Genomic DNA, 24,972 nt, shown 5'->3' with positions numbered 1-24,972 from the left:
GGGAGAATTCCCTCTTTTTCTATTGATTAGAATAGTTTCAGAAGGAATGGTACCAGCTCCTCTTTGTATCTCTGGTAGAATTCGGCTGTGAATCCATCTGGTCCTGGACTTTTTTTGGTTGGTAGGCTATTAATTATTGCCTCAATTTCAGAGCCTGTTATTGGTCTATTCAGGGATTCAACTTCTTCCTGGTTTAGTCTTGGAAGGGTGTTATATGTCAAGGAATTTACCCATTTCTTCTAGATTTTCTAGTTTATTTGCATAGAAGTGTTTATAGTATTCTCTGATGATAGTTTGTATTTCTGTGGGATCAGTGGTGATATCTCCTTTATCATTTTTTTATTGAGCCTATCTGATTCTTCTCTCTTTTCTTCTTTATTAGTCTTGCTAGCGGTCTATAATTTTGTTGATCTTTTCAAAAAACCAGCTGCTGGATTCAGATTTTTTGAAGGGTTTTTTATGCCTCTGTCTCCTTCAGTTCTGTTCTGATCTTAGTTATTTCTTGCCTTCTGCTAGCTTTTGAAAGTATTTGCTCTTGCTTCTCTAGTTCTTTTAATTGTGATGTTAGGGTGTCAATTTTAGATCTTTCCTGCTTTCTCTTGTGGGCATTTAGTGCTATAAATTTCCCTCTACACACTGCTTTAAATGTGTCCCAGAGATTCTGGTATGTTGTGTCTTTGTTCTCATTGGTTTCAAAGAACATCTGTATTTCTGCCTTCATTTCGTTATGTACTCAGTAGTCATTTGGGAGTTGGAGTCTTGCTCTGTAGTGCAGGCCAGAGTGCAGTAGTGTGATCTCAGCTCACTGCACCCTCTGCCTCCTGCGTTCAAGCAATTCTCATGTCTCAGCCTTTCAAGTAGCTGGGATTACAGGTGTGTACCACCAAACCTGGCCTATATTTTTCTTTTGTCTTTATACCTTTCTTGACTATATAATTTTTTTCATAAAGATCTTGATAGGGAGGGAGGGATTATTTACATTTTTCAAACACAAAAATATGTAGAAAAAGCTCTGGGTGAGGTTAGAGGCAAGAGAACAAGCTTTCTGCAGCAGGGAGTCTGGAGGTTTTGTGCAGAAGGTTCCCCTGAGCTGCTTCCTGGAAGACAGGTGGGCTTTGGACCTATGAGACCAGGGAGATGGATAGAGGAAAGAGAGAAAGCACGGGATGGGCAGAAGCTTGAGGTGGAAGAAACTTTAAGTGGTGGCCTCACTGAGCCAGGACCCACCCCTGCCCCCAGAGACCTAGGTCTGGGCTCACCCCCCATCCCCAGGAGTGCTGGATCAGCACCCATGCAAAGCAGGTGCATGGTTACTTGTTACCAAGGCTGATGCACAGATGGACCTCTTTGAATTGATTCAATATGTCTATTGAGTGTCAATTTCTCCCAAAACCACGAGGAACTTCATCATGTTCCCCATCCTGGGACACCATGGATGATTCCCCATTGCCTGGAGATGATCCTTAGACTCAGTCCATCTGTCTCACCTCATGCTCCAAAATGCACTTGAGCCCTGAACATGCCATGCACATCCACGCACCTAGGTTCAGGCTGCCCCTCAGCCCACAGGTTTCTCTTGTTTCTCCATCCAGCCAGTCCTTCTCCCTCCATCAAGGCTACCTCACATATCATCCCAACCAGAGACGGCTCCTCTGGCCTCCTATCCCACTTTCCATGCTTCCTCCTTACCTAGGTGATGCTCAGAGTCATCTGCACTCCTGGCTCTTCCCCCTCCTTCCTCCATCTCATCCACTCACATATAATCTGCACTTCTAGCAGCACTGGATGGAATAGCATGGAGTTTTACATCTCTCTGTGAAGCCCTCTGGACGCCTCTACCAAGGGGAAGTGTTATATGGCTCAGGAGAATTTAGGGATTCTGTCATTCATAAAATTTACCATTTTATTTTATTTTATTTTAATTAATTTATTTATTGAGATGGAATTTCACTCTTCTTGCCCAGACTGGAGTGCAATGGCGCAGTCTCGCTCACTGCAACCTCCGCCTCCCAGGTTCAAGCAATTCTCCTGTCTCAGTCTTCCAAGTAGCTGGGATTACAAGTGCCCGCCACCACACTCAGCTAATTTTTGTATTTTTGGTAGAGACAAGGTTTCACCATGTAGGCCAGGCTGGTCTCAAACTCCTGACCTCAGGCGATCCTCCCGCCTCGGCCTCCCAAAGTGCTGGGATTACAGGAGTGAGCCACCTCACCCAGCCAAATTGACCATTTTAATTCAAAGAAATCAAAACAAAATTGCATTTCTTTGATCATGCATTGAGGTATCATCCTATGGGTGGGTGGGGAGCAGGGCACACTCGGAGCTCTGCACCTGTGGAAAGCACTCCCTGCCCCCCAAAACTGCTGCGTTCTCCACAAAGATAGCTTTATGAAGTAGACTCTTCCAGGGCTCTCCCTTGACACCCCCGTAAGGCTGTCCATCTGCATATTGAAGAATCCCTACAACAAACTTTCATTCCCAAACTCCAGGCCCTTTGACCCTTCTCTTAATAATATGCACATGTCATTAACATGACAGATCCTATCCCCTTCAGGGGGCCCTGGAGCTGGGGAGCATCTTCAACTGTGTACTTCATACTCCTTAAATAGGATTTTCAGGATATATAAGCTGTTGTTGGCTGGGAGATGACAGCAGGGTTTCTCCCAAAAGCTAAATATATGTAAACACCTCTTTTAAAGGTCCCTAAAAGGTCCACTTGACTTTCCATCCTGTCCCTTTTGTGAAGGAACACACCTTCAAAGCCTGAGGAATGTCATCCCTCCACCCTCAACAAGAGATGCCAAAATGCTTTCACACTGCCAGAGCGAAGCAAAAACCTACCACAGGGAGCAGTTAACCTAATGGAATGTGCTAACAGCAAAATTATTCCATCGCCCTCAACCCAGGGAAACAAGGTCCGAACCCATTTCTAGGCACCTGAACTTGCAGCTTCTCTGAAGAAATGAGGCCCGACTACCTACAGAATCTTGGGGAGGATTTTATTCTGGATGCTTCCCTGGCTTCTCCCTAGACAAGCCCACACCCAGAGAGCTTTAGGGAGGCCAATGCCCTTACTGCCTGCGAGGGGGTTAGATTTATTTATTTATTGTTGTTGTTTTGTTTTGTTTTGAGACAGAGTCTAGCTCTGTCGCCCAGGCTGGAGTGCAGTGGTGGGATCTCGGCTCACTGCAACCTCCGCCTCCGGGGTTCAAGCGATTCTCCTGCCTCAGCCTCCCAAGTAGCTGGGAGTCCAGGCCCATGCCACCATGCCTGGCTAATTTTTGTATTTTTCTAGAGATGGGGTTTCGCCATATTGACCAGGCTGGTCTCAAACTCCTGACCTCAAGTGATCCACCCGCCTCGGCCTCCCAAAGTGCTGGGATTACAGGCGTGAGCCACCCTGCCAGGCCAATTGTTATATTAATTTGAAAACTGCTCCTTTTGGCTCCTTGCAGAGACCTGAATGAAGAATAAAGAGCAAAGCCAGTACCACAGTGCCTCTGAGATGTAATATTTGTCATTCATCAGAAGGAATAGAGTGGGGGGCGGTCAGTGGAATTCTGGTCCCTGGCATTTGTGCAGGACCTGCCACCTTTGCACTCATTATTTCCTGAGAGGCCAACAGCATCTCAAAAGGAAAAGAGAGATTTTCCCTCTCTTGCCATCTCAGGTGCTCTGAGTCACTCAATGAGGTTTCCAGAGCTCAGATTCATGTGGTCTAACACCAAGACAATGTTCTTTCCAGGCTTGCTTGGGAAGGAGCACAGGTCTGTACACAGCTTGGCTGACCCTCCCACACTGCAGCATGGTGGAGCCCTTGGCTGCCTGTGCTGTAGAGTTTCAGCCTGGGTCTCCAAGCCCACCACAGGGAGCCTTGTGAAGCAGGTTAAACTGTGGTGAGAAAAAGCAAAGACTGAAGAGAGGGAAGAATTGGGGGGCGGGGTGGGGGTAGGGGGTTGGAGGGCTTTTTTTCCGATTGCCAGAGACTGACACAGGACATAGGACTTTCCAGTTTTGTTTTTGCTTTTGTTTTTGTTTGAGATGGAGTCTCGCTCTGTCGCTCAGCCTGGAATGCAGTGGCGCGATCTCAGTTCACTGCAACCTCCGCCTCTTGGGTTCAAGCAATTCTCCTGCCTCAGCCTCCTGAGTAGCTGGGGTTACAGGCGCCCGCCACCATCCCCGGCTAATTATTATATTATTAGTAGAGACGGAGTTTCACCATGTTGGCCAGGCTGGTCTGGAACTCCTGACCTCAGGTGATCCACCCGCTTCGGCCTCCCAAAGTCCTGGGATTACAGGCGTGAGCTACCACCACCAGCCTGACATTCCATTTTAAAACCAGGACAGTCATGGGCAAACTGGGACAAGTCAGTCACCATAGGTAAAGAGAAAAAAGAAACAACATCCCTGCAAAGAGACTCCTACCCCTCAAATGAAGACACTGTGGAGAGAGCACTTGAATGTCAGCTAACATCTTATCATATATGCATTTCATGGCAATTTCCACTCCAGTTAGCCAGGCCTCAGCATCCCATGCCTCCAGTAAAGCTGGGGCTTGATGTGCACTTGGGCTAAAAGCTGTTTCTTTTCTCCAACATTTGCACCTTGTGGCTCATCACGGTGGGCAAGTCCTCACGTCGCTGCCCAGCCGGCAGGACCAGTTGCCATAAGCGAGAAGGCCGCCTCCACACAGTTGGCGTGAGCTGCAGCAGGAAACTGACGTGCACATTTGTTACCCAGAGGAATTATCAAGTGAGGTAACACTCCAGGGAAAATAACCTCCCAGAAGTGTTCAACAGAATGTACTCACAGCCATCCCCGAAGTTTATAGTTGAATCCATCCAAGAAAACCTCAGGGTTCATCATTTTAATGAGATGTTTGAGGGAGAGGGCTGCCGGTAGAAAGACGATTTTCCCTCAAAACAGACTATAAAATATTATTTCAGCAAATTCAGAAGAAGGACCAACTTGGAATGAAAACGATATTTCTTTTGAAACCCAAACATAATTAAGCTATTTATAATAATAAACTCAGGTCTCAATTCTGCCCTCTTTACCAACAAAGATGCATCTAACTAAAGCTTCCTTGGTTTCAAATCTCTAGTTTAAATTCCTTGTTCTTCTTGGCTTTATGCCAAAGAAAAGTGGCTAAACCAACCCAAGCAAAAACTCAGGGTGTTACATGTCTGTTGCCATATTCTATTTCATTCAAGTAACCAAATTAAAAACCAGATTAATCATAGTTTTCCATAGTTCCAGATGAGACAAGCCTGTGTAACCAGTTTGTCTGCACACATTGAGTCTCTCTATCTGGCTTTGAACAATCAGTCAAGTCTTTTCATTGGTTGTCATTATTTAACAAACATTATGAAGCAGCTATTATGAGCATAGCCGTGTTCTAGGTAGAGGGGAGCACCCAGAGGTATGCTAATTGTCTTTAAAGGAGTTTCCCACCTGGGGAAACCCACTTAGAGATGAATCCAGAAAGCAAAACAGTGGAATGGGTGGGCCGTGCTGGACAAGGGCTGAATGTGTCAATATCGAGGGCAATGAGGGTTCTTAAAAGATTGCCCCATCTTCAAGTGCTAGCACCTCCCTCCTATACGTCATTTGGTCCTTATGAGAACCTGGTGAGGTGGTGATTATTCTTGTTGTTTTAGAGAGAGACAGTGAGATTCAGAGGGAAGTGACTGACCCTCAGCCATGGAGTTGGTGAATTGCAGAGCCAAGATATGCCCCAGGGCTCCTATCTGAGTCTCTTCCCTGCTGTTGTAATAGAATGACACGGACTGGGTAATTTATAAAGGAAAGAAATTTATTTATTTTTATTTTTTATTTTTATTTTTATTTCTTTTTTTGGGACGGAGTTTCGCTCTTGTTGCCTAGGCTGGAGTGCAATGGCGCGATCTCAGCTCGCCGCAACCTCCGCCTCCCGGTTTCAAGCGATTCTCCTGCCTCAGCCTCCTGAGTAGCTGGGATTACAGGCATGCACCATCACTCCCAGCTAATTTTGTAGTTTTAGTAGAGACGGGGTTTCTCCATGTTGGTCAGGCTGGTCATGAATTCCCGACCACAGGTGATCCACCTGTCTCAGCCTCCCAAAGTGGTAGGATTACAGGCGTGAGCCACCGCGCCCGGCCAAGAAATTTATTTCTTACAGTTCTGGAGACTGAGAAATCCAAGGTCGGGAGACCTGCACCTGGCAAGGGCCTTCTTACTGTGTCACTCCATAGCTTGAGGTGGAAGAGGAAGAGGATGCAAGAGAGAGAGAGAGAGAAAGGCTGCTTAACTCGCTTTCATAATAAGCCCACTCACTCCTGAGGTTGTAACCACCCAGTGGGTTCACCTTGTCTGCTGTTTAGACACAGCCAATTTATAAAGACAGGGAAATTGCAATAGAGAAAGAGTAATTCATGCAGAGCCAGCTGTGCGGGAGACCAGAGCTTTCTTATTACTCAAATCAGTCTCCTCAAGCATTTGGGGATCAGAGTTTTTAAGGACAACTTGGTGAGTGTGGGGAATTCAGTGAGCCAGGAGTGCTAATTGGTCAGAGATGAAATCATAGGGAGTCGAAGCTATCATCTTGTGCTGAGTCAGTTCCTAGGTGGGGGCCACAGGATCAGATGAGCCAGTTTATCAATCTGGGTGGTGCCAGCTGATCATCAAGTGCAGGGTCTGCAGAATATCTCAAGCACTGATCTTAGGAGCAGTTTAGGGAGGGTCGGAATCTTGTAGCCTCCAGCTGCATGGCTCCTAAACCATAATTTCTAATCTTGTGGCTGGTGTTAGTCCCACAAAGGCAGTCTAGTCCCCAGGCAAGAAGGAGGTTTGTTTTGGGAAAGGGCTAATCTACAAACTAAGTTCCTCCCAAAGTTAGTTCAGCCTACGCCCAGCAAAGAACAAGGACAGCTTGGAGGTTAGAAACAAGATGGAGTTGGTTAGGTCAGCTCTTTCACTGTCTCAGTTACAATTTTGTAATGGCGGTTTCAAGGTCACTAATCCACTCCCCCAGTAAGCACATTAATCCATTTGAGAGGGCGGAGCCCTCATGATCTGATCATCTCTTATTAGTACCCACCTCCCAACACTATTGCATTGGGGATTAAATTTCCATCATATGAACTTGACAGGGCACATCTTCCAACCAGAGGGTGTTGACAGACACTGCAGTCTTGCAGCCACCTTTAAAGCTGCAGCCATTGCAAAGGACCAATGACTCTGGATCCTCAAAGTTGACAGGGAGCCCCAGAGATCACTGACTTCAGCCCATTCTACTTATAGACAAGGAAACTGAGCAACAAGAAGTTACTTTCCTATTTCAAGGTTGAAAATAGTCAATAACTGATCTAAGACCCAATCCAGGGGCTTCTTCCAAACTAAGTGTTTCTGTGACTCAGGATTGCCTCCCAGTGAACCTGGAACAACATTTTTCCAGTGGAGGGACTGCTCTTTTGTCCTCTCTCAGGAAGATGGCTGAAGATAGCCTGAGCCACAAAACAAGAACACACAAAATTCAACTGATGTCAAGCTTTGTGAAAGAGTGGGCCTGTTTCCCCCACCCTACCTCAAAGGTCTGCTGAGAATCTCAGGCCCACTGGAATGCAGAGAAAAGTTGATTTTGTGTTGCCTCTTCCGAGCAAATCCCATTGCAAATTGTCTGTAGCTATCAGAGGAGTTTGTGCTGTGTGTGCTCTCCAAACGTGCATTGTACCAATAGGTCTGTGTGCTTCGACCATAAAAAGGCTCTGTTACCTCTCCTGGTCAAAGGTTTCAGGATGAATGTCTTGTAGCTTGATACACCAATATCAAAAGAGATCAGGTAACCCTGGTCAGTGGCCTATGAAGAGATTTCCTTTACAAGTAAGGAAAACTAATAAACCATTGTAGAAGGCGTAGATGTTCTGCGGCACTCAAATTCCTAGGCTCCGTCTTAAAATAGGCTTCAAAGCTCACATTCATTTGTTTCCAAGGTACCCGTTTTCAGGTTTTGTAAGGCCTCTTTTGAGGAACAAAAGTCTGCAAAGTTCTTGTTAAACTCAGGCTTGTGAATTTGTTCTACCGGTAAATGTTTTTTTCTAAAGGTTCTTTGCCCTGGTAACATACTGAGGAAATAGAGAGAGGAAAGACCCCATCAACATCAAATCATATTATTGAGCAGGCTTAAACCACACCTGTCACATGCCAGACACTATTCTATGTGCTGTATATAAATCAATTGAAGGCGGGGTGCAGTGGCTTGTGTCTGTCATCCCAGCACTTTGGGAGGCAAAGGTAGGAGGATCACTTGAAGTCAGGAGTTCGAGACCAGCCTGGGCAACACAGTAAAACCCCATTCCACTAAAAATGGAAAAAATTTGTTGGGTATGGTAGTATGCGCCTGTAGTCTCAGCTACTTGGGAGGCTGATGTGGGAGAAACGCCTGAGCCCAGGAGGTCGAGGCTGCAGTGAGCCGAGATCAGGCCACTGCACTCCAATCTGGGCAATCAGAGTGAGACCATTTTAAAACATATTAATAATAATGATGCCAACCCGCTAATAATCCCAGTGTTATCCCCTCGTTGTACCAGTTGGGGAGCTGCACAACCCAGAGCCTGTGAGTTTGGGAATCAAATTCAAGCCCAGGGAGTCTTTAACTTTTTTTTTTTTTCTTTGAGATGGAGTTTTACTCTTGTTGCCCAGGCTGGCGTGCAATGGCATGATCTTGGCTCACCGCAACTTCTGCCTTCCGGGTTCAAGCAATTCTCCTGCCTCAGCCTCCTGAGTAGCTGGGATTACAGGCATGAGCCACCACACCTGGCTAATTTTGTATTTTTAGTAGAGACGGGGTTTCTCCATGTTGGTCAGGCTGGTCTTGAACTCCCAACCTCAGGTGATCTCCCTGCCTCGGCCTCCCAAAGTGCTGAGATTACAGGCGTGAGCCACCGCACCCGGCCAAACCCAGGGAGTCTTAACTTCAGATTCATACTCTTTGTTTTGAGACGGAGTTTTGCTCTGTCACCCAGGGTGCAGTGCAATGGCGCGCTCTTGGCCTACTGCAACCTCCGCCTCCTGGGTTTAAGCAATTCTCCTGCCTTAGCCTCCCGAGTAGCTGGGATTACAGGTGCCCGCAACCACACCTGGCTAATTTTTTTGTATTTTTAGTAGAGATGGGGTTTCATCATGTTGGTCAGGCTGGTCTTGAACTCCTGACCTCAGGTGATCCACCTGCCTTGGCCTCCCAAAGTACTGGGATTACAGGCATGAGCCACCATGCCCAGCCCAGATTCATACTCTTAACTACTATGCTCAATGGTTTCTCCTCGAGACAATGAATGGAAATTGGTGGGGTACATTTACCAATGTCCAGAGGGAGATAAGGGAAGATTTTTTATTTTTTATTATTATTTTTTGAGACGGAGTCTCGCTCTATCACCCAGGCTGGAGTGCAGTGGTGTGATCTCGGCTCACTACAACCTCCGTCTCCCAGGTTCAAGCAATTCTCCTGCCTCAGCCTCCTGAGTAGCTGGGATTACAGGCACCAGCCACCATGCCCAGCTAATTTTTGTATTTTTAGTAGAGATGGGGTTTCACCATGTTGGTCAGGCTGATCTCAAACCCCTGACCTTGCGATCCACTTGCCTTGGCTTCCCAAAGTGCTGGGATTACAGGCGTGAGCCACCACGCCCAGCCAGAGATAAGGGAAGTTAAGCACTGAACCGAGAAGCTTGAGGCCTGAGATCTGGTTTCTGAGCAAGCACAAGAGTGCCCAGGGCAGGACACTCTCCCCACAGGCCCTGCCCCTCAGCTCCCAGGACCAGATGCGCCTTCCCTGAGCCTCCTACCTCTGCTGTTGGCATCCCTGAATTCCTCTAGCCTTTCTACTTATTTTTTACGGCATTTGCCACCATATTAGATGCTGTTTAATTTATTTGCTTATTATGTTTATTTGTACAGCTGTCACTCTCTGTTACACTATAAACTTCAAGAAAGCAGAGAAGATTTGGGAGAGTTTTGTCTTTTTTGTTCATTGATGTCTCCCAAGCACTTAGAACAGTGCTTGATACATGGTAACTGTTAAATAAATATTTGTTGAGAGAAAGAATGGGAAAGAGGGAAAGAAAAAAAGAAAAAAGAACGCTTCCAGGCACGGCAGTGTGTGTGCACCTGTTGTCCGAGTTACTCAGGAAGCTGATGCAGGAGGATCACTTGAGTCCAGAAGTTCTGAGCTGTAGCACCCTATGCCTACTGGATGTCCACACTAAGTTTAGCATCAATATGGCAACTCCTGGGAGTAGGGGACCACCAGGTTTCCTAAGGAAGTATGAACTGGCTGGCCCAGGTCAGAAATGGAGCAGGTCAAAACTCCTGTGCTGATCAGCAGTGGCACTGTGCCTGAGATTAGCCACTCCACGCCAGGCTAGGCAACACGGCAAGACCCTGTTGCAAAAAAAAGAAAAATAAAATAAAGGAAAAATAAAATTCTCACAAGCAGACTGTAGGTGCCTCCCCTGAAATGGGAGAGTAAACTAGTTGGCTTCTATGCCTCTTCCAAATCAAACAACCTCTGATTTCGAAAACAACTCACATCAGAATTTCAAAACATAGCCACCATAGGGATTAATGAAACTAAAACTCAGAAGACCAGATTCCCTCACTTATAATGTGGGAATGTGATAAACTGGTCAAAAATCCTCAAGGATTTTTGAGACTCATGCATACAAAAACTTGGGAAGCTCTGCAGTGCTACACAGGGGTGGGAGGCATTGCAACCTTTTTCACTACGAGTGTAGACCATCTGTGGCCTGAGGCAAGTGTCTGAGCTGCCACAAGCCAGGCCAGGCGTAGACTCAGTGAACCCAGGCAGAGGACCAGCTTCCTCCTTCAGATAGCCCCAAACTCAGCCACTAGGCCCCTCATATGCTTTCATTCATCAGCCCCTCAACCCAGTGCCTCTTGGTTTCTCTTCTTGCCTTCTATACAACCCCCAGGGCTTTAACTCTCTTGCAGACTGTGGGCTCCTTGTAGACAGTCCTCTATGAGCATTTTATCTTCACTTCTTCAGAACTGCCAGCATAGTCAGTACCAGACACTCATTGATGTCTAAGGGATGTCTTTTCCCATCTGAATTAGCCTGAGAGCTTGTGAACTGGAGTTGGTGGGAGACCCACCCATAATGGAAATCCTCTCCTCGCTCCTTCCTCTGTTACCGTCTATACTGCTGGCATCTGCTAAGGCTCTGTCACCTGTCAGTCACAGGGCAGATGCTCAGAATCAGAGGCAAATGAGAGCCCTATCTGCCTTAAGGGAGCCCACAGTTTAGGGGGTCCAGGAGGTGCATAAGGCAGCTAGAAGATAAGTGCACAGAGGCCAAGGGCTGGGAAAGGCCTACCTGGGGGTGCAAGATTGAGAAGGATTTCAATTAATGGAATCTGGGTAACCTAGAAGGAGGGATGTGGTGAAACAAGTCACGGATGAGAAACAGCCAGAGTCCAGCACATGGAGGGCCATGGGCAATGGAGCTGGTGGGACTGGGTAGAAGTGCCTCTGTGCTGGGCTGGAGAGTCGGGACTCGATTCTGTAAATAGTAGGGAACTGTTGGAAGTTTGCATAAAGAGTAGGTGGTTTAGAAGGGTTAATATGGAAGCATGATGTAGGTGGACGGGCAGGCCAGGAGGTGGGGAGGCTACAGTGTGGGCAATGAGAAAGTGAATGTTATGGGGAAGGGCACTGGGCGGGTCATAGGAGACACCGGCTCTAGTCTCCCTGGGTTAAGCCATTAATTCCAGGTGGGATCCCGCACCCTCATTCTGAGAAATGAATTTCAATGAGATGATCTCTGTGCTTCGTCTCAGCTCTATCGTTTATTGAACTAAATGATGTAGAGCTCTTTCCCAGTCTCAAAACTGCTCTTGGAATGCAGAGATGGTTTCTCATGTTATTGAAACAACTAGTTCAATTCTTCTGTGACTACAGCAATTACTTTATAGATAATTGCAGAGCTAAATTTGGTGACATTCCCTCAGCTAGGTCAGAAAAGGCAAATATGGGATTTTTTCACTTTAGTTTTAATCCTTTAGGTGCATATTTGTGGTCCACCTAATGCAAAAACGTTTCATGTTATATACTACATTATATACATTAAAAAGATGACTAACCTAACAATGGAAAACAAGAAACCGTAAACATTTAGAAGAGAATGACCACTGGAGATGTTAGAGGGGGTGGAATTTGGCTCTGAGCTTCCCAGCAGCCCGAGCAAAAAGAGAGCATAGTAGGAATTGTAGTTTAGTGGCCTCATTCATATGAACAGTTTTCTTTCTTCACGGTTAAGCATTCCATTTCATTGGACACACTCAGGTAGGTTCCTTATGGTAATCACAAATAGAGAAACTGGGATGACTGAGCTGGGCTTCAAGAATCTTAGGTACACAATTAATGTGAGGTTGCTTAACTTTCTTTTGGCTCTTGCACACACACAGGGGCAGAGGCCGTGAGTGATTTGGGGCCTGTAAAATGCAAACGAACGGAAGTTTTTTGAATGACAATTCAAAAAGAAAGGGTGCATTATTTTTTAGTCTGGGGATGGGGACTAGGAGAATTAAAGGGCATTTTATCTTATTTTCTACATGGCGAGACCATCAGAAAGATGTCCATGGTAGTATCACCAACCTCGTATCTCAAGGGTGTGCGATAAGCAGGATAAGGAGGACTGAGTTCTAAACTCCTACTTGCCTTTATAAAATGACCAAAGCGGCTGGGCATGGTGGTTCACGCCTGCAATTCCAGAACTTTGGGAGGTCGAGGTAGGTGGATCACAAGGTCAGGAGATCGAGACCATCCTGGCTAACATGGTGAAACTTGGTCTCTACTAAAACTGCAAAAAATTAGCCGGGCATGGTGGCACACACCTGTAGTCCCAGCTACTCAGGAGGCTGAGGCAGGAGAATCGCTTGAACCCGGGAGGCGGAAGTTGCAGTGAGCCGAGATTGCACCACTGCACTCTAGCCTGGGCACCAGAGTGAGACTCCATCTCAAAAGAAACAAATAAAAATGACCAAAGCAGACAAGGACACATGGCTTGGTGTCTCCCATCTCTGCCCCTGACAAACTGTGTGTCCAGGCAAGCAAAGCTGTCTCATCTCTGGACCTGCTTTCTTCTCAGTGAAGCAAAAGGCCTTTTTCTTTTTTTTCGGCTCACAGTTAAAAATCTGAGATGAACAAAACCCTAGAGAAATAACCGAGTACAACCTGACACTCAAAAGAGAAATAGGTTATTTGTACACTTTTAGTTCTGAGAAGCTGCTTACAAGCAAGGCTCTTATGTCCCAACAGGTAAACTATCTCCTTAACACACAAGTCTTGGCTCTGTCTTCTGGAGCCTGCAAGATTGATCCCATTTCCAAAGGGCAGCCCAAGTAGCCAAGACACTGCTGTGTAATAGGAATGGCAAGTAGAGAGCCATGCCACCCATATGGGGTCTCCATTGTGACCCCAGGGTCTCTCCTGCACCTGGTACTTGCTCTGGACTACGTAACTGTCACTCGTGAATTACACTTTGGTGAATCAGGTTGAGTTCATTGAAGGGAGGAACCCATTTCCATCTGTTTATTCTGCTTACTCTGCTTAGCCTAGAACCTCCACAGATCCTAGTGAATGTTTTTAACAATGAATTCTTGGAGACAAACTATGCTCTACCTTAAAATAGAAGACTGTCTGCCAATGGGACGAATACTACCAAAGCCCAATACAAGCGAGTTAAACAACCCTGTGGCTATTTTTACTTTTCTTTTAAAGGGACTGATCTGAGGTCTCAGCTTAATTCCACTAAGGAGCCACAGTATACAGAAGTGCTCTGTAAATTATCAAATGCCATTGCTACAATGCACACAATAGTCGCTAATAACATCTCTATTCTGCATAATCTTGGAGAACTGCCTTAATTTCCCCAAACTCAGTTCCCTCCACCTTAAGTGGGGACAATGACTCATGCCCCCCAACCAGGATTGTACAGGTGCAAAAAGGGCTATTTACGGAAACCAAATTCCCTCTATAGGTTATGGATTATTTATGGTTGCTCCTTAAGGGACAGAGTGTAATGCCATTAAGGAAAAGGTTGAGTTGCATCATTTAATTTTAAGCTATTTATTTTCATAAACATGAGGTATTTCAAAGTGCTATAAGATGCAGCACTAAATATATACATTTTGAAGAAATTAAACACAGAACTTTGCATTTACCCAGTTCTATGCACCAAACATGAACAAATACATTAACAGGAAGAAACAGGCTAGGAAAAAGGCATATATATATAGTAAATTTCTTTACAAAAGTTTCTTAGTTCAAAAAGTGATAAAGTAATATCTACTCAAAACTTTCACAACTCATTTTCATACGAAAATATAAGTATCAAATTTAGTTATGTATCAGCGTCATACTAAAGTATACAGGCAGTGTAAGAATTAGTACAGTACATAACAGAGATTAACAATATATTTGTATACAAAACATGCTCCTCAAACATTGAGGTATTATTACAGTACTTAGGTATGAACTTCCAGTCTAATACTGGCCGCAAAAGCCACCTCTCATTACCCAGGATGTATACAAAAGGCGGATGTGTCAATGGTATTTACAGAAATGTTCCCCAGGGGTATCAAATGGCAAACCCCTTATGTGGCATCTGCTGGAACTTAAGCACCATTTTAAAAAGAAGGAATGACTTTCTGTTGTTTGGAAACTTGGAACACACAAGGTGACTTCAACAGCCCCAGAGGCTCCCAACCGTCACCAACGTTTAGCGCTGTCATGGAGGTGAGGTGGAGGAGGCTGCAGGGCCACCCAGCATCCTGGGATGCAGGCTCTCCAAGGTCCCAGCAGAACCCCACACTGGTGGTCCTACTGCCCACCCAGAGCCGAACTCGACAGGGGACCGATTTGAAAGTAAACCAACATTCTTAATGTCAACACAATGTTTGTTTAAAAAAAAAATCAAAATGTGCAAAGTGGCAGTGACTGTCCAGTTTTGAGAAGCGTCTAGCAAGTCCGAGCGTGTTCAATTTTCTTTAGCAACTGCTGCTGTCTTGCCTGCAATTTTTCCTTTTCCAGCAAAAGCTGGTGCTCCTCGGCCTGGAGGGAGTGGACATACTCAGTGGCCTTTTTCAAAATGACCACCTTGGCGGCCTTCTCATTCTTTACCAACTCCGGCACGTGGTCCCTGAGCGTGAGAAAGCTGGACCGAAGGTCGTTGCGGCGCTGGCGCTCCAGGATGTTGTGGTTTCTGCGACGCTCACTGTCCTCCGAGTCAGAGTTTCGGGGGCTCAAGCTCTTAGCCTTTGGGGGGATGACACTCTTGAGCGGACGTGGGGACGCCTCGCTCTTTATCTTCTTCTGTGGGGGTGCATCCTCACTCTCCACGTAGGGAGAGGGGGCGGCATAGTTGTGCTGCTGGTGGATGGGAAGGCATCGTTTGAGGATCAGCTCGCTGGACTGAGCCCTCCCGGGACCCAGGGCTGCGTTCTTGGGACGCACAGTGATGGTGAATGTGGTGACAGCCTTGGTGTTGGAGGAGGAACGCCGCTTCTCCACAGTGACCACGTCGATTTCTTCCTCTTCATCTTCCTCTTCATCATCTTCATCATCTGAGAGAAAGATGCTAGTTACTCTCATGTGAGAACCATTTGAATGAAATTCACATATATATCCATGTTAATATGTATGCTTATCTGTCTCTTCCGGCAGACCCTGGCAGACTGCTATTTTTATGGGTCCATCAACATAGATGTGGACAGTTTTGTATTTGTTTTAGATCTCTTTAAATTAAATATATCTGTAGGCCGGACGCGGTGACTCACACCTGTAATCCCAGCACTTTGGGAAGCGGAGGCGGGCAGATCACCTGAGATGAGGAGTTCAAGATCAGCCTGGCCAACATGGTGAAACCCTGTCTCTACTAAAAATACAAAACTTTGCTGGGTGTGGTGGCATGCTCCGGTAATCCCAGCTACTCGGGAGGCTGAGGCAGGAGAATGACTTGAACCCGGGAGGCGGAGGTTGCAGTGAGCCCAGATCATACCACTGCACTCCAGCCTGGGCAACAAGAGCAAAACTCCTTATCAAAAACAAAAACAAAACAACCCCCCATACATACATACATACATATACATATATGTATGTATATATATTTTTCTTCCCCATACCCCAACTGTGCTTTCAGCCTCCATTCAAGACTTTAGCAGGTGGTAGAAATAAATATAAAGAACTTGGCCTTTAGGGTCAGACAGAATCCTGGCTCCACCGCAGACTAGTTGCATGACCCTGGTCAAGTTACCCAGCCTTTCTAAGCCTCTGTTTCCTCAGCTATTAAATGGGGATGATACCACTTTGACAGATAACATGTAGACTTAGCATAGAGCTGAGCCTAGTAGACAGATGCTCAGTAAATGGTAGCTTTTATCATAATCACCAGTCTGCCCTGTGGACTTATTTACATTTCTAGCTCCACACTTAAAGAGTTGAGGCCTCTCATTTTAGGAGCCTCATTTAGCAGTTTACACATGGTTGTGTTTGATTTTAAGTCCTTAAACAAACTTGAGGAACAATTTAATTAACTGAAGAAAAAAAACAACTTTTCGTCCACAAACCTGAGTTTTATACAATAAACAGTTTTTCATTTAACAAAGATCAAATCTTAATGACAAAGCCATAATCCACAGTTGGTATAAACCCCCAAATGGGAGCAGCTCTCCTCAAAGCCACCAATAATAACAGCAACAACAGAAACGTGTAGCATCATGTGCGCATTCTTCCCCTCTCTCCTCATTGACTACCACGCTGGGGTAGAAAATTATTGTTTAAAATACAAGCATGAAAATCAAAACATATCTTCTGCTTGATCTGAAGGGGACCGGAAAGCTGAACAATTGTGGGATTTGTTCTAAAGCCGAAATGTGAGGCTGTTCCAGTCTGTGGGTCCCTTTAAGCCAATGTTTTGGTTTTCTGCCAAGAAGACAGCTGTTGGAAGGAAGTGCTTCCTCACCAAAAGCTGTCAAGGCACAGACATTAAAGGGACAGAGCCGTTTCAAACTGGAGGCTTATCACCAAGTTTCCTTCCAGGAGCCTCAAAGATCTCTCCTCAGCCCAGAAGTAAATTTAGGCTTGTTATCCACCTGCATTCTGAAAACACTGGTTTTCAAAGTCCAAGGGGGGTCCCAGCTCCCTGCTCCAAGGACAAGGCAATGCCACTCTTTGGGTTGAGTTCTGTTCATCCAGACCCCCAGGGAAAGGCTTGGTTTTAACTCTTCCCTTCAGCTTAAGACACAGACAAATGAACACAATAGAACTAATCAGTGAGTCCTCCCAGGATGTGAGCCTTCCTGGAGAGGCTGCTGAGTGCCTGCCCTCACCTTCAAGGGCACTGGGTTACAGATACAACTCACATCTCAAATTAGGCCTGGAATTCAGGCTGGAAGACAAAACTACAGCCAGTTTCCACTGCACACTGGAAAGAGGAGGCCCCCTGAGAATGTACACAACTGCTGTTGCACTTGCAGCCAGCTGCTGAATGGAGGGAGGGAGGGTGCCCCCACCACCCCCAGCCTTTCAGATCCCGGGCCCGCCTGCTGGCCTCGCATATCGCCGCCTGCTGGCCACGCACCAGGAGCAAATAGCCCACCACCCACCGAGGATGGGGGAAGGGAAAGGTACCGACATTTGAAAAAAAAAAAAAAAGAAAAAGAAAAAGAATAGAAAATCGGCTCTAGCCATCTGTGCAACCCTCCTATAAGTTCCTGCGCCTTAAACAGGGCTTTGCACAGCCCTTGAATCTTCTCGGGATGTCTTTCCCTCCCCTGACCTGGGCCAGAGAGTCCCTTTCACCCCTGCGCTAACAGGTTTCTGTCCAGGCAGTGCACCCAGCAACCCCCTAAACCCCCACCCGGTTTAGCCACCAACTTTCTCCAATTTTATTCCTCAGACTGCGCTGCAAAAGAGAGGTGGGGGACCGGGTGAGGGCCCGTGATGGCCTAGAGGAGGGCTCCCCAGGAGAGGGTGGAAGGAACTTTAGTGAAGGCGAGAATTGGAGAGCACCCCTTTTGCAACGGCATTCTCTCAGCCCCTTCTCTTTACCCCGAGGAGAGACTTGGGGGAAACAGGACCTCTCTGCCCCTAGCACTGCCTCCAAAATGCTCCCCAGGCCAAGACATACGAGCACTAACAAAGGGGACGCGACCCGGGGTCCAGTGCCCCAGGGAGGCAGCCGGACCCGAGTTCGGTCTTTACCTGAATCGCTCAGGGTGTCCTCTCCGGAGGTACTGAGGGCCTTGTGGTCGCCGCCGCTGGTCTGGCGGCCGCCTGGGCGCGGAGGGGCGACCCCCGGGGCCCCGGCTGGGGCGGCAATACCCGCCCCCGAGGCGACCGCAGGGCCCGCCGCCGGGGCACTGGCCGGGGCTGCGGGCACGGGCGCTGGCTCGCGCTTGTTCACGGGAAAGGGGAAGACCACGGCGGGATCCACGCACTCGGCGGCCGGGTGGGCGAGCTCGGCGGGCAGGGCGGCCCCGGCGCGGCCGGCTCCCGCAGCCCCGCCGTGCCCGCGACCCGCAGGGCTGGCGGCGCCGGCTCCCGGGGACTGGGCGGTGGAACCGGCGGTTGGCGGCCCGCGGCCGTGCTGCAGCTTCTCGCTCACGGCGCGCTCCAGCTTCTCGCGGGCGGAGAAGCCGCTCCACATGCAGTCCTGGAGGATGACCGGGTTGGGGGTGAGGCCACCCAGTCCCCCCAGGCCGAACGCGTCCTCCTCGGCCGGGCTGCCCCACAGCTCGTTCTCAAGCAGCATCTCCGTGACCCAGCTCGGGGGCTCGGAGCTGTGCTCCGCGAAGCCACGGCTGGGCGACAGCGGGGGCGTGGGCAGCAGCTCAAACTTCTTCCAGATGTCCTCCCCCGGGGGGGTCGAGTCGGGGCCGCCGAAGTAGAAGTCATCTTCGTCCGGGTAGAAGCAGGGCTGTAGCGAGTCAAACTCGAGGTCTGGGTTCTTGCAGATCATGCCCGGCATGGTGGACGTGGAGCAGCTCGGCATCGGCTCGCCTCCCGGCCGGCGACTGAGGGCTTCTTTCCGCCCCGTTCGTTTTAATACCGGGGGTGCTTCCTTCCCGTGGGGGGCGCGGAAGGCGGGGGCCGGCGCCGACCTCCAACACTGCAACCGACAGACACACCGGAGAGGGTGGGCAAACGGGGCAGACCGAGGGGATAGGCAATGGGCGCCCCCTCTAACCAGGTTCCCCAATCTTCCCTCCAAGCCCCCCACTCTGCCCACTGCTCCCGAAGGTGGAGGAAGTTGTGCCTCTCGCTCCCTCCCTCCCGCCCTCCTTTTGTGTACAAGCTGTCTACGACAGGGGGTGGGAGGGGGCATGCAGATGCAGGGGGTGGTGGCGAGGCTCCGCAACTTTGGAAACTGCCATTTCATTCACACAAGGCACTGCCTGGGGGAGGGGGCTGTTCCTGGCTGCAGAATTCTAGCTCTCACGAGCACGCAGACAACCGCACTCGCAGCGGTGTGGGGCCGGCTGCTCAGGGGAAGCCCCAGGCTCTCCGACCCAGCTACCGGGAATGGTATTTGGAGTACCTTCTACCCCCTTTGTAAAAATGCAACCTCAGGAGTGCAAATGATAGCAGGGGATTTAGAAAACTTTGCAAATAAAAAAAAGCCTTTCTCTAGACAGAGACCAACAACAGACACCCATATCCACAAATCCTTCCCCTCCCCAAATTTGAGCAAACGCCCCTCGGCATTCACCCGCTGCAGGGATACTCCTGCCAATAGCTTAATTGGAAGCTCTCTAAGCCCACCCCTGCTCTTCCAAACCCACGACAACGTCCTCTTCCAGGGAGGGAGAGGCTGAGCCCCTGTTCCCGGGAATGGCAGGGGCGCCCGCGCGAGGAGGGTCGCCGGGAGAGCCGCCTCTCCTCCAAGCTGGAGCAGCCGTGACCCAGATTGCGACCGCGGCGGCCTCGCCCTGCCTAATCCCCCCCTCTTCTTCCTCCAGGGGCACCCTTTGGAGAAGAACCCCAGCCTGGGGTGGGGACGCACCGGCTCTCCGACAGCTCAAACACAGACAGATCTTCTAGAGCCGAGGGAATTTCTTTTCGCAGAAGCCATTACTCCCCCCGGTAAGGGCTGCAAAAGGATTAGGGCGGGTCTCCTCTAGCCAGGATGCCTTCGGGGCTGGAACTGGCTTTTCTGGGAAAACCCAGAGATGGTTTTGTTTCGGAAGCAGAAACAGTCCCCCGGGCATATTAGGGCGCCCGGTGCGCACGTCGCAATCCCGTCCAGGGCTTGCCTTGCCCCGGCGCTCGTCGCTTCCCTGGGCGCCGGGCGGTTTGCAAGCCCTGCTCCTTACCTCCCGCCGACTGCAGGGGATCCGGAGGCGATTCTGCGCGGGTGTCTCCGGGTGGGCCGGGGGGGCGGGGGTGTCCTCGGATGGCTACAGTCTGTGCGCGCTTGCGCCTGGCTAGCGCTTGCTCGGCTCCAACACAGTTCCCAGGAGCCCCCCGCATCCACCCAGCGCGTCCAGACAGATGACTGTCACAGCCTGCGCTTTGAAGCTCGGGGGATATTATTAACTGAAAAATCTGACACACCCGGGGGGCGGGGAGAGAAGGGGGCTGTGGCGCAGACAAGGGGGAGGGAGAAAGGAGAGGAAAGCGGCTTTACCCCGCCCTCCTGATTTCCATAAAAATCAGGGGAGGCGCCAAGGCTTTCGCGCCAAAAGCCACTTGCTTTTCTTTGCAGAGAGAAGGCTGCAAAGCTGGGAAGCCCAGGGTGTGCTCCTCCCGCCCTTTTGGACCCCCGGGCTTGCACCGGCTGCACTCTGAGAACCAGCTGCGCGCGGAGCGGTGCAATGCAGCACCCACCCTGCGAGCCTGGCAATTGCTTGTCATTAAAAGAAAAAAAAATTACGGAGGGCTCCGGGGGTGTGTGTTGGGGAGGGGAGACCGATGCTTCTAACCCAGCCCCCGCTTTGACTGCGTGTTGTGCAGCTGAGCGCGAGGCCAACGTTGAGCAAGGCCTTGCAGGGAGGTTGCTCCTGTGTAATTACGAAAGAAGGCTAGTCCGAAGGTGCAAAATAGCAGGGAGAGGACGCGCCCCCTTAGGAACAAGACCTCTGGATGTTTCCAGTTTCAAATTGAAAGAAGAGGGGCGCCCCCCTTGTTTGAAAATAAATAAATAAATAAGTGCGAGCTACGAGGGTGGCGCCGCGGTGGTTTCTTCGGCCGAAGGCGACACCTCGCGGAGACTGAGCAGAAAGCGGAGCTGCCCGGCCTTGGCGCGGACCTGGAGTGCGGCCACTCCGCAGGTCTCCCGCCGCCCCCGCGGGACTGTCCACGCGTCCTCACCACTGCGGAGGAGGAGGCGGCCTGGCTCTGCTTCCTAGGGGGAATGGGCGTACGTTCCCTGCAGCCGTCCCCAGGGCTCCCAAGTTAACCTTTTCAAAGCCACCATTCTCCCCAGTTATGGGCAGGCGAATCTGATTTACCGAGATGGAAGTGCTGTCCACACCTCCTGAGACCCAGCCTCGGCTCAAACAGCTTGATTCCAAACTGTTGAAGGGAAAAAGGAAAGCTGCTGTCACTACTTCGTTTCTTTGTGCCTCAGTTTCCTCAATTGTGAAATGGAGTTCGTAGTGCCTCCTACCTGAGAGTTATGAAAGCTCTTATAAGTCCCCAGCCCATAATAGTTGTGTCAGCTATTATTATGATGATGACCACGACATGCTATTCTTCTGGGGAAAATAACACCCCTCTGTCCAGCAGCAGCATTGGCCCCTTCCCTTCCCGCCACCATCAAATCCTGGCTTTACTTCACTCTGGTCTAGCTTTTCTTACAGGTGTATTTGTTTGCAGGGGGTCAGACATTATTGCCCCTGCCCTCCAAACTCTCCAAAAACAACCCTGATCTCCTGGACAGCCCCCTTCACAACCAAATACACAGTGAGGTGGGATTTTGCCTTGAAAAACATTCCTTAGGCTTGTTTGGAGAGAGGGGAACCTGGCCCTGGGATTGGGGTGGGAAGGCTTCCCCGCCTCTCCCTACTTTTTTCTCCAAACTGGAAATGCCATTCTCCATCGCCCCCACCTCTTCACCTCACCATTGGATCTAGTTAAGGAGGAGGATGCTGAGGGTCAGGGGGCAACCCATAAAATGCTCACAGATTAGCATTTGTGAAGGCCTTTCCAGCCCTGACCCTGGACGCCTACAGAGCTCTAGGGAGAAAGATTCCCAGAGTTCTAGGAAGAGGCCCATGAATGCGGATGAGCAGCCCTTCCAAGCACCTTTATTATTGTTATTTCCCTCACAAATGTAAAAGCCTTCATCTTTGCAAAAGCCTTTTACAGCCCCACTTCTGCTTTTCCCTAGCCCCCTAATCGCCACCAAGCCCTCCTGCTGAATTCTCGCCTAGCATCCTGTCCTTTCCTGTCCAGCACTCACCTCCATTTGTAATGATCCATGCCTGGGAGTATTTGTTTAGTGCTCACTTCCGTGACACTGTGGAAGACAGGCTCAGTCTCCCTCACTAACCTGTGACCTGGGTCAGTTTTGCTCCAGAGGGAATCCTTACGGCACAGCAGTGTACCTGTATATAGTAAGTACTCATGGTATTATTCAAGACCAAGATCACTGAATGAGTCCTTCTAAGGTGGCCAGATCTTCTGTGGCAAGACTGTGAAAATAGGCCAGGATGGGTTCAGTTGCTCCGATTCAAAGTCCTACCTTTGTCCTTTCTCCTCAGATGAATGACCATCACTAGGTCATTCACCCTTTGTCGAGGGACAAGGTGTAGCAGAAAAGGGGGACAGAGGGACAGGAGACCTGGTTACTCTACATGCCTTTGAGCAAATCATTTATACTTCCTGGACCTCAATCTCTAATCTCCTGCTTTTAATGCAAGCCAGTAATTACTGACAAGTCTGAATCTGAAGGTTAACAGAATGATAAAATTCAACAAATATTTATTGGTTACCTTCATTTGTAAGTAGAAAGATAAAAGACTTTGTACATGGAGAAAACATGCTAATGCTGATTCTTAGTCTGCTTATAGAGAAGCCTGAAAATCCCTCTTAAAAATGTTGAAATACTTCAACTATGTGAACACACACAAAACAAATCTTCATATGGTTTCAAAGCCAAGGTTTTGTTCAGTACTGCCATGGTTTGAATGTGTCCTCCAAAAAAAAACACGTTGGAAGTTTAACCCCCAGTGCAACAGTGTTGGAGGGGAGGTCCCCAAATGCCAGTGGGACCTAGACCCCAGCCAGTGTCCAGGCTCTTGACACCATCAAGAGAATGAATTCAAAGACCAGTTGGAAAATAGTGAAAGTACGATTTATTGCAAAGGGAAAAGTACACACTCAAGAAAAGGGAATATGGGTGTACTCGAGAGACTCACACGAAAGGGGGTTTGGGGTTGCTACCTTTACGGGTTTCTTTAACCAAGAGGCAGAATATTCATGATCATTCCTAGAAAAAGAAGGAGATTTCTCAGAACTGTGACACCACCTATTTTTAAACCAAATATGGGTGTTCTCGGAAGTGTCATGATGCTAGTGGGGTGTGTGATTTAGTATGTTAATGAGCGTATAATGAGGTCCTAGGAGAAACCTAGGTCAAATCCAGTGCCATGCTGGGTTCAGTGGGTCTTAGCCAGCTTGGTCTACACTCTGTTTTTCACGGTCTTAGCCCATGGCCTCTGCAGCCATTTCAACAGTTTCCTTTTGCTAGTCATGTGAAATTGCTGCCCAAAATCTTCTATTATTCTGCAGCCACCTTATATTATTCCTGTCTCAGGACCTAATGTGAGGTGTTTAGGTCATGAGGGCTCCACTCTTGTGAATGGATTAATGCTAATTATAAAAGGGCTTGAGGCTAGGAGTTTGATCTCTTGCCCTCTCTTCCTTTTTCCTGCCAGGGGATGGTACGCCATGAAGGCCCTCAGCAATTGCTGGCACCTTGATATTGGACTTCTCAGCCTCCAGAAACATGAGAAATACATTTCTTTTCTTTATAAATTACCCAGTCTGTGCTATTAGGTTATAGCAACACAAAATGAACTGAGACAAGTACCCATCTATTACTGTGTCTGAGCCCCTGGGTGGGTTTGGAACAGAGGTAAGTTAAGGTACAGCCGCAAGGAGCTCACTGTGGACCAGGGAAGGAGACCCACATCTGAAATGGATGCCTCAATCTAATCACCAACTGCTAGGATAGAGTTATACACAGCATTTGGTTTATAATTAAGGTGATTTTTGAGAGAGGAGAATATTTTAGTTTACAAATCTCCTCTTTACTAAGACACACACACACAAAGAAACAACACACACATACACATGTTGAGAAGGGCCCAAATCATGACTGGCTAGGAGAGCAACAGCCTCTAGATGGTTTTTCCAGATTGTGAATTAAAGATCTGCTGGGTTGGCCAGGCATGGTGGCTCACGCCTGTAATCCTGGCACTTCAAGAGTCTGAGGAGGGCAGATGGCTTGAGCCCAGGATTTTGAGACCGGCCTGGGCAACATGGTGAAACCCTGTCTCTACAAAAAATATAAAAATTAGCTGGGCGTGGTGGGTGCGTGCCTGTGGTCCCAGCTACTTGGGAGGCTGAGGCAGGAAGATCACCTGAGCCCAGGGAGATCAAGGCTGCAGTGTGCCATCATCACACCACTGCACTCCAGCCTGGATGACAGAGTGAGACCTTGTCTCAAAAGAAAAAAAAAAAGATCTACTGAGTCTGTCTTCAGGGACAAGAGCACAGTTTCTCCTAGGATCTTCACACCTCCCTCAAAATGTGTACATTTTTACTGATTAAATAATTTAAAAATCCTTGGGATCGATTGACTTCATTTGGAAAACAGTAAAGCTAGCTCTCTGCCTAACCCAAATGCAAAAAAAAAAAAAAAAAGGGCAGGGGAGGGGTGGGGGTGCTGGATGTAAGAATTTTACTATGATA

General features: G+C 48.5%; 1 protein-coding gene, 1 long non-coding RNA gene and 1 pseudogene across 8 annotated transcripts, besides 2 other annotated features; 2 read left to right on the top strand and 1 right to left on the bottom strand.

Moving 5' to 3' along the window:
- RN7SL104P (RNA, 7SL, cytoplasmic 104, pseudogene) lies at window positions 10,129-10,421 on the top strand (annotated as a pseudogene).
- MYCN (MYCN proto-oncogene, bHLH transcription factor) lies at window positions 14,106-20,560 on the bottom strand. 5 transcript variants are annotated; one of them, NM_005378.6, is made up of 3 exons: window positions 20,367-20,560; window positions 18,256-19,162; window positions 14,106-15,617 (listed from the first exon to the last, which is right to left on the bottom strand). In NM_005378.6, exons 2-3 carry the CDS (start codon window positions 19,043-19,045, stop codon window positions 15,013-15,015), a joined length of 1,395 nt encoding a protein of 464 aa, NP_005369.2. In that variant the 5' UTR covers window positions 19,046-19,162; window positions 20,367-20,560; the 3' UTR covers window positions 14,106-15,012. The 5 variants fall into 4 exon arrangements, with proteins under 5 accessions (NP_001280157.1, NP_005369.2, NP_001280162.1 ...); NM_001293228.2 differs by having other exon boundaries at window positions 20,057-20,560; NM_001293231.2 differs by lacking the exon at window positions 18,256-19,162.
- On the top strand, window positions 18,677-24,845 carry MYCNOS (MYCN opposite strand). Of its 3 annotated transcripts, NR_110230.2 has the most exons (4): window positions 19,425-19,578; window positions 20,013-20,136; window positions 22,385-22,610; window positions 23,934-24,845. It is a non-coding gene; the product is annotated as an MYCN opposite strand (long non-coding RNA). The 3 variants fall into 3 exon arrangements; NR_161163.1 differs by lacking the exons at window positions 19,425-19,578; window positions 22,385-22,610; window positions 23,934-24,845 and adding exons at window positions 18,677-18,958; window positions 20,759-21,212; NR_161162.1 differs by lacking the exons at window positions 22,385-22,610; window positions 23,934-24,845 and adding an exon at window positions 20,759-21,212.
- Window positions 20,432-20,962: an enhancer, noted in NCBI's record as "H3K27ac hESC enhancer chr2:16080270-16080800 (GRCh37/hg19 assembly coordinates)". NCBI's record gives its function as "activates a minimal SCP1, AML or CMV promoter by ChIP-STARR-seq in primed H9 embryonic stem cells {active_cell/tissue: H9 hESC(primed)}" and the evidence as "EXISTENCE:reporter gene assay evidence [ECO:0000049][PMID:30033119]".
- Window positions 22,007-22,564: an enhancer, noted in NCBI's record as "OCT4-NANOG hESC enhancer chr2:16078668-16079225 (GRCh37/hg19 assembly coordinates)". NCBI's record gives its function as "activates a minimal SCP1, AML or CMV promoter by ChIP-STARR-seq in primed H9 embryonic stem cells {active_cell/tissue: H9 hESC(primed)}" and the evidence as "EXISTENCE:reporter gene assay evidence [ECO:0000049][PMID:30033119]".

Source organism: Homo sapiens, chromosome 2, assembly GCF_000001405.40.
Source record: "Homo sapiens chromosome 2, GRCh38.p14 Primary Assembly".
Classification (NCBI taxonomy): domain Eukaryota; kingdom Metazoa; phylum Chordata; class Mammalia; order Primates; family Hominidae; genus Homo; species Homo sapiens.
The sequence above is the reverse complement of the archived record's forward strand: the minus strand, read 5'-3'. Positions and strand labels throughout refer to the sequence as shown.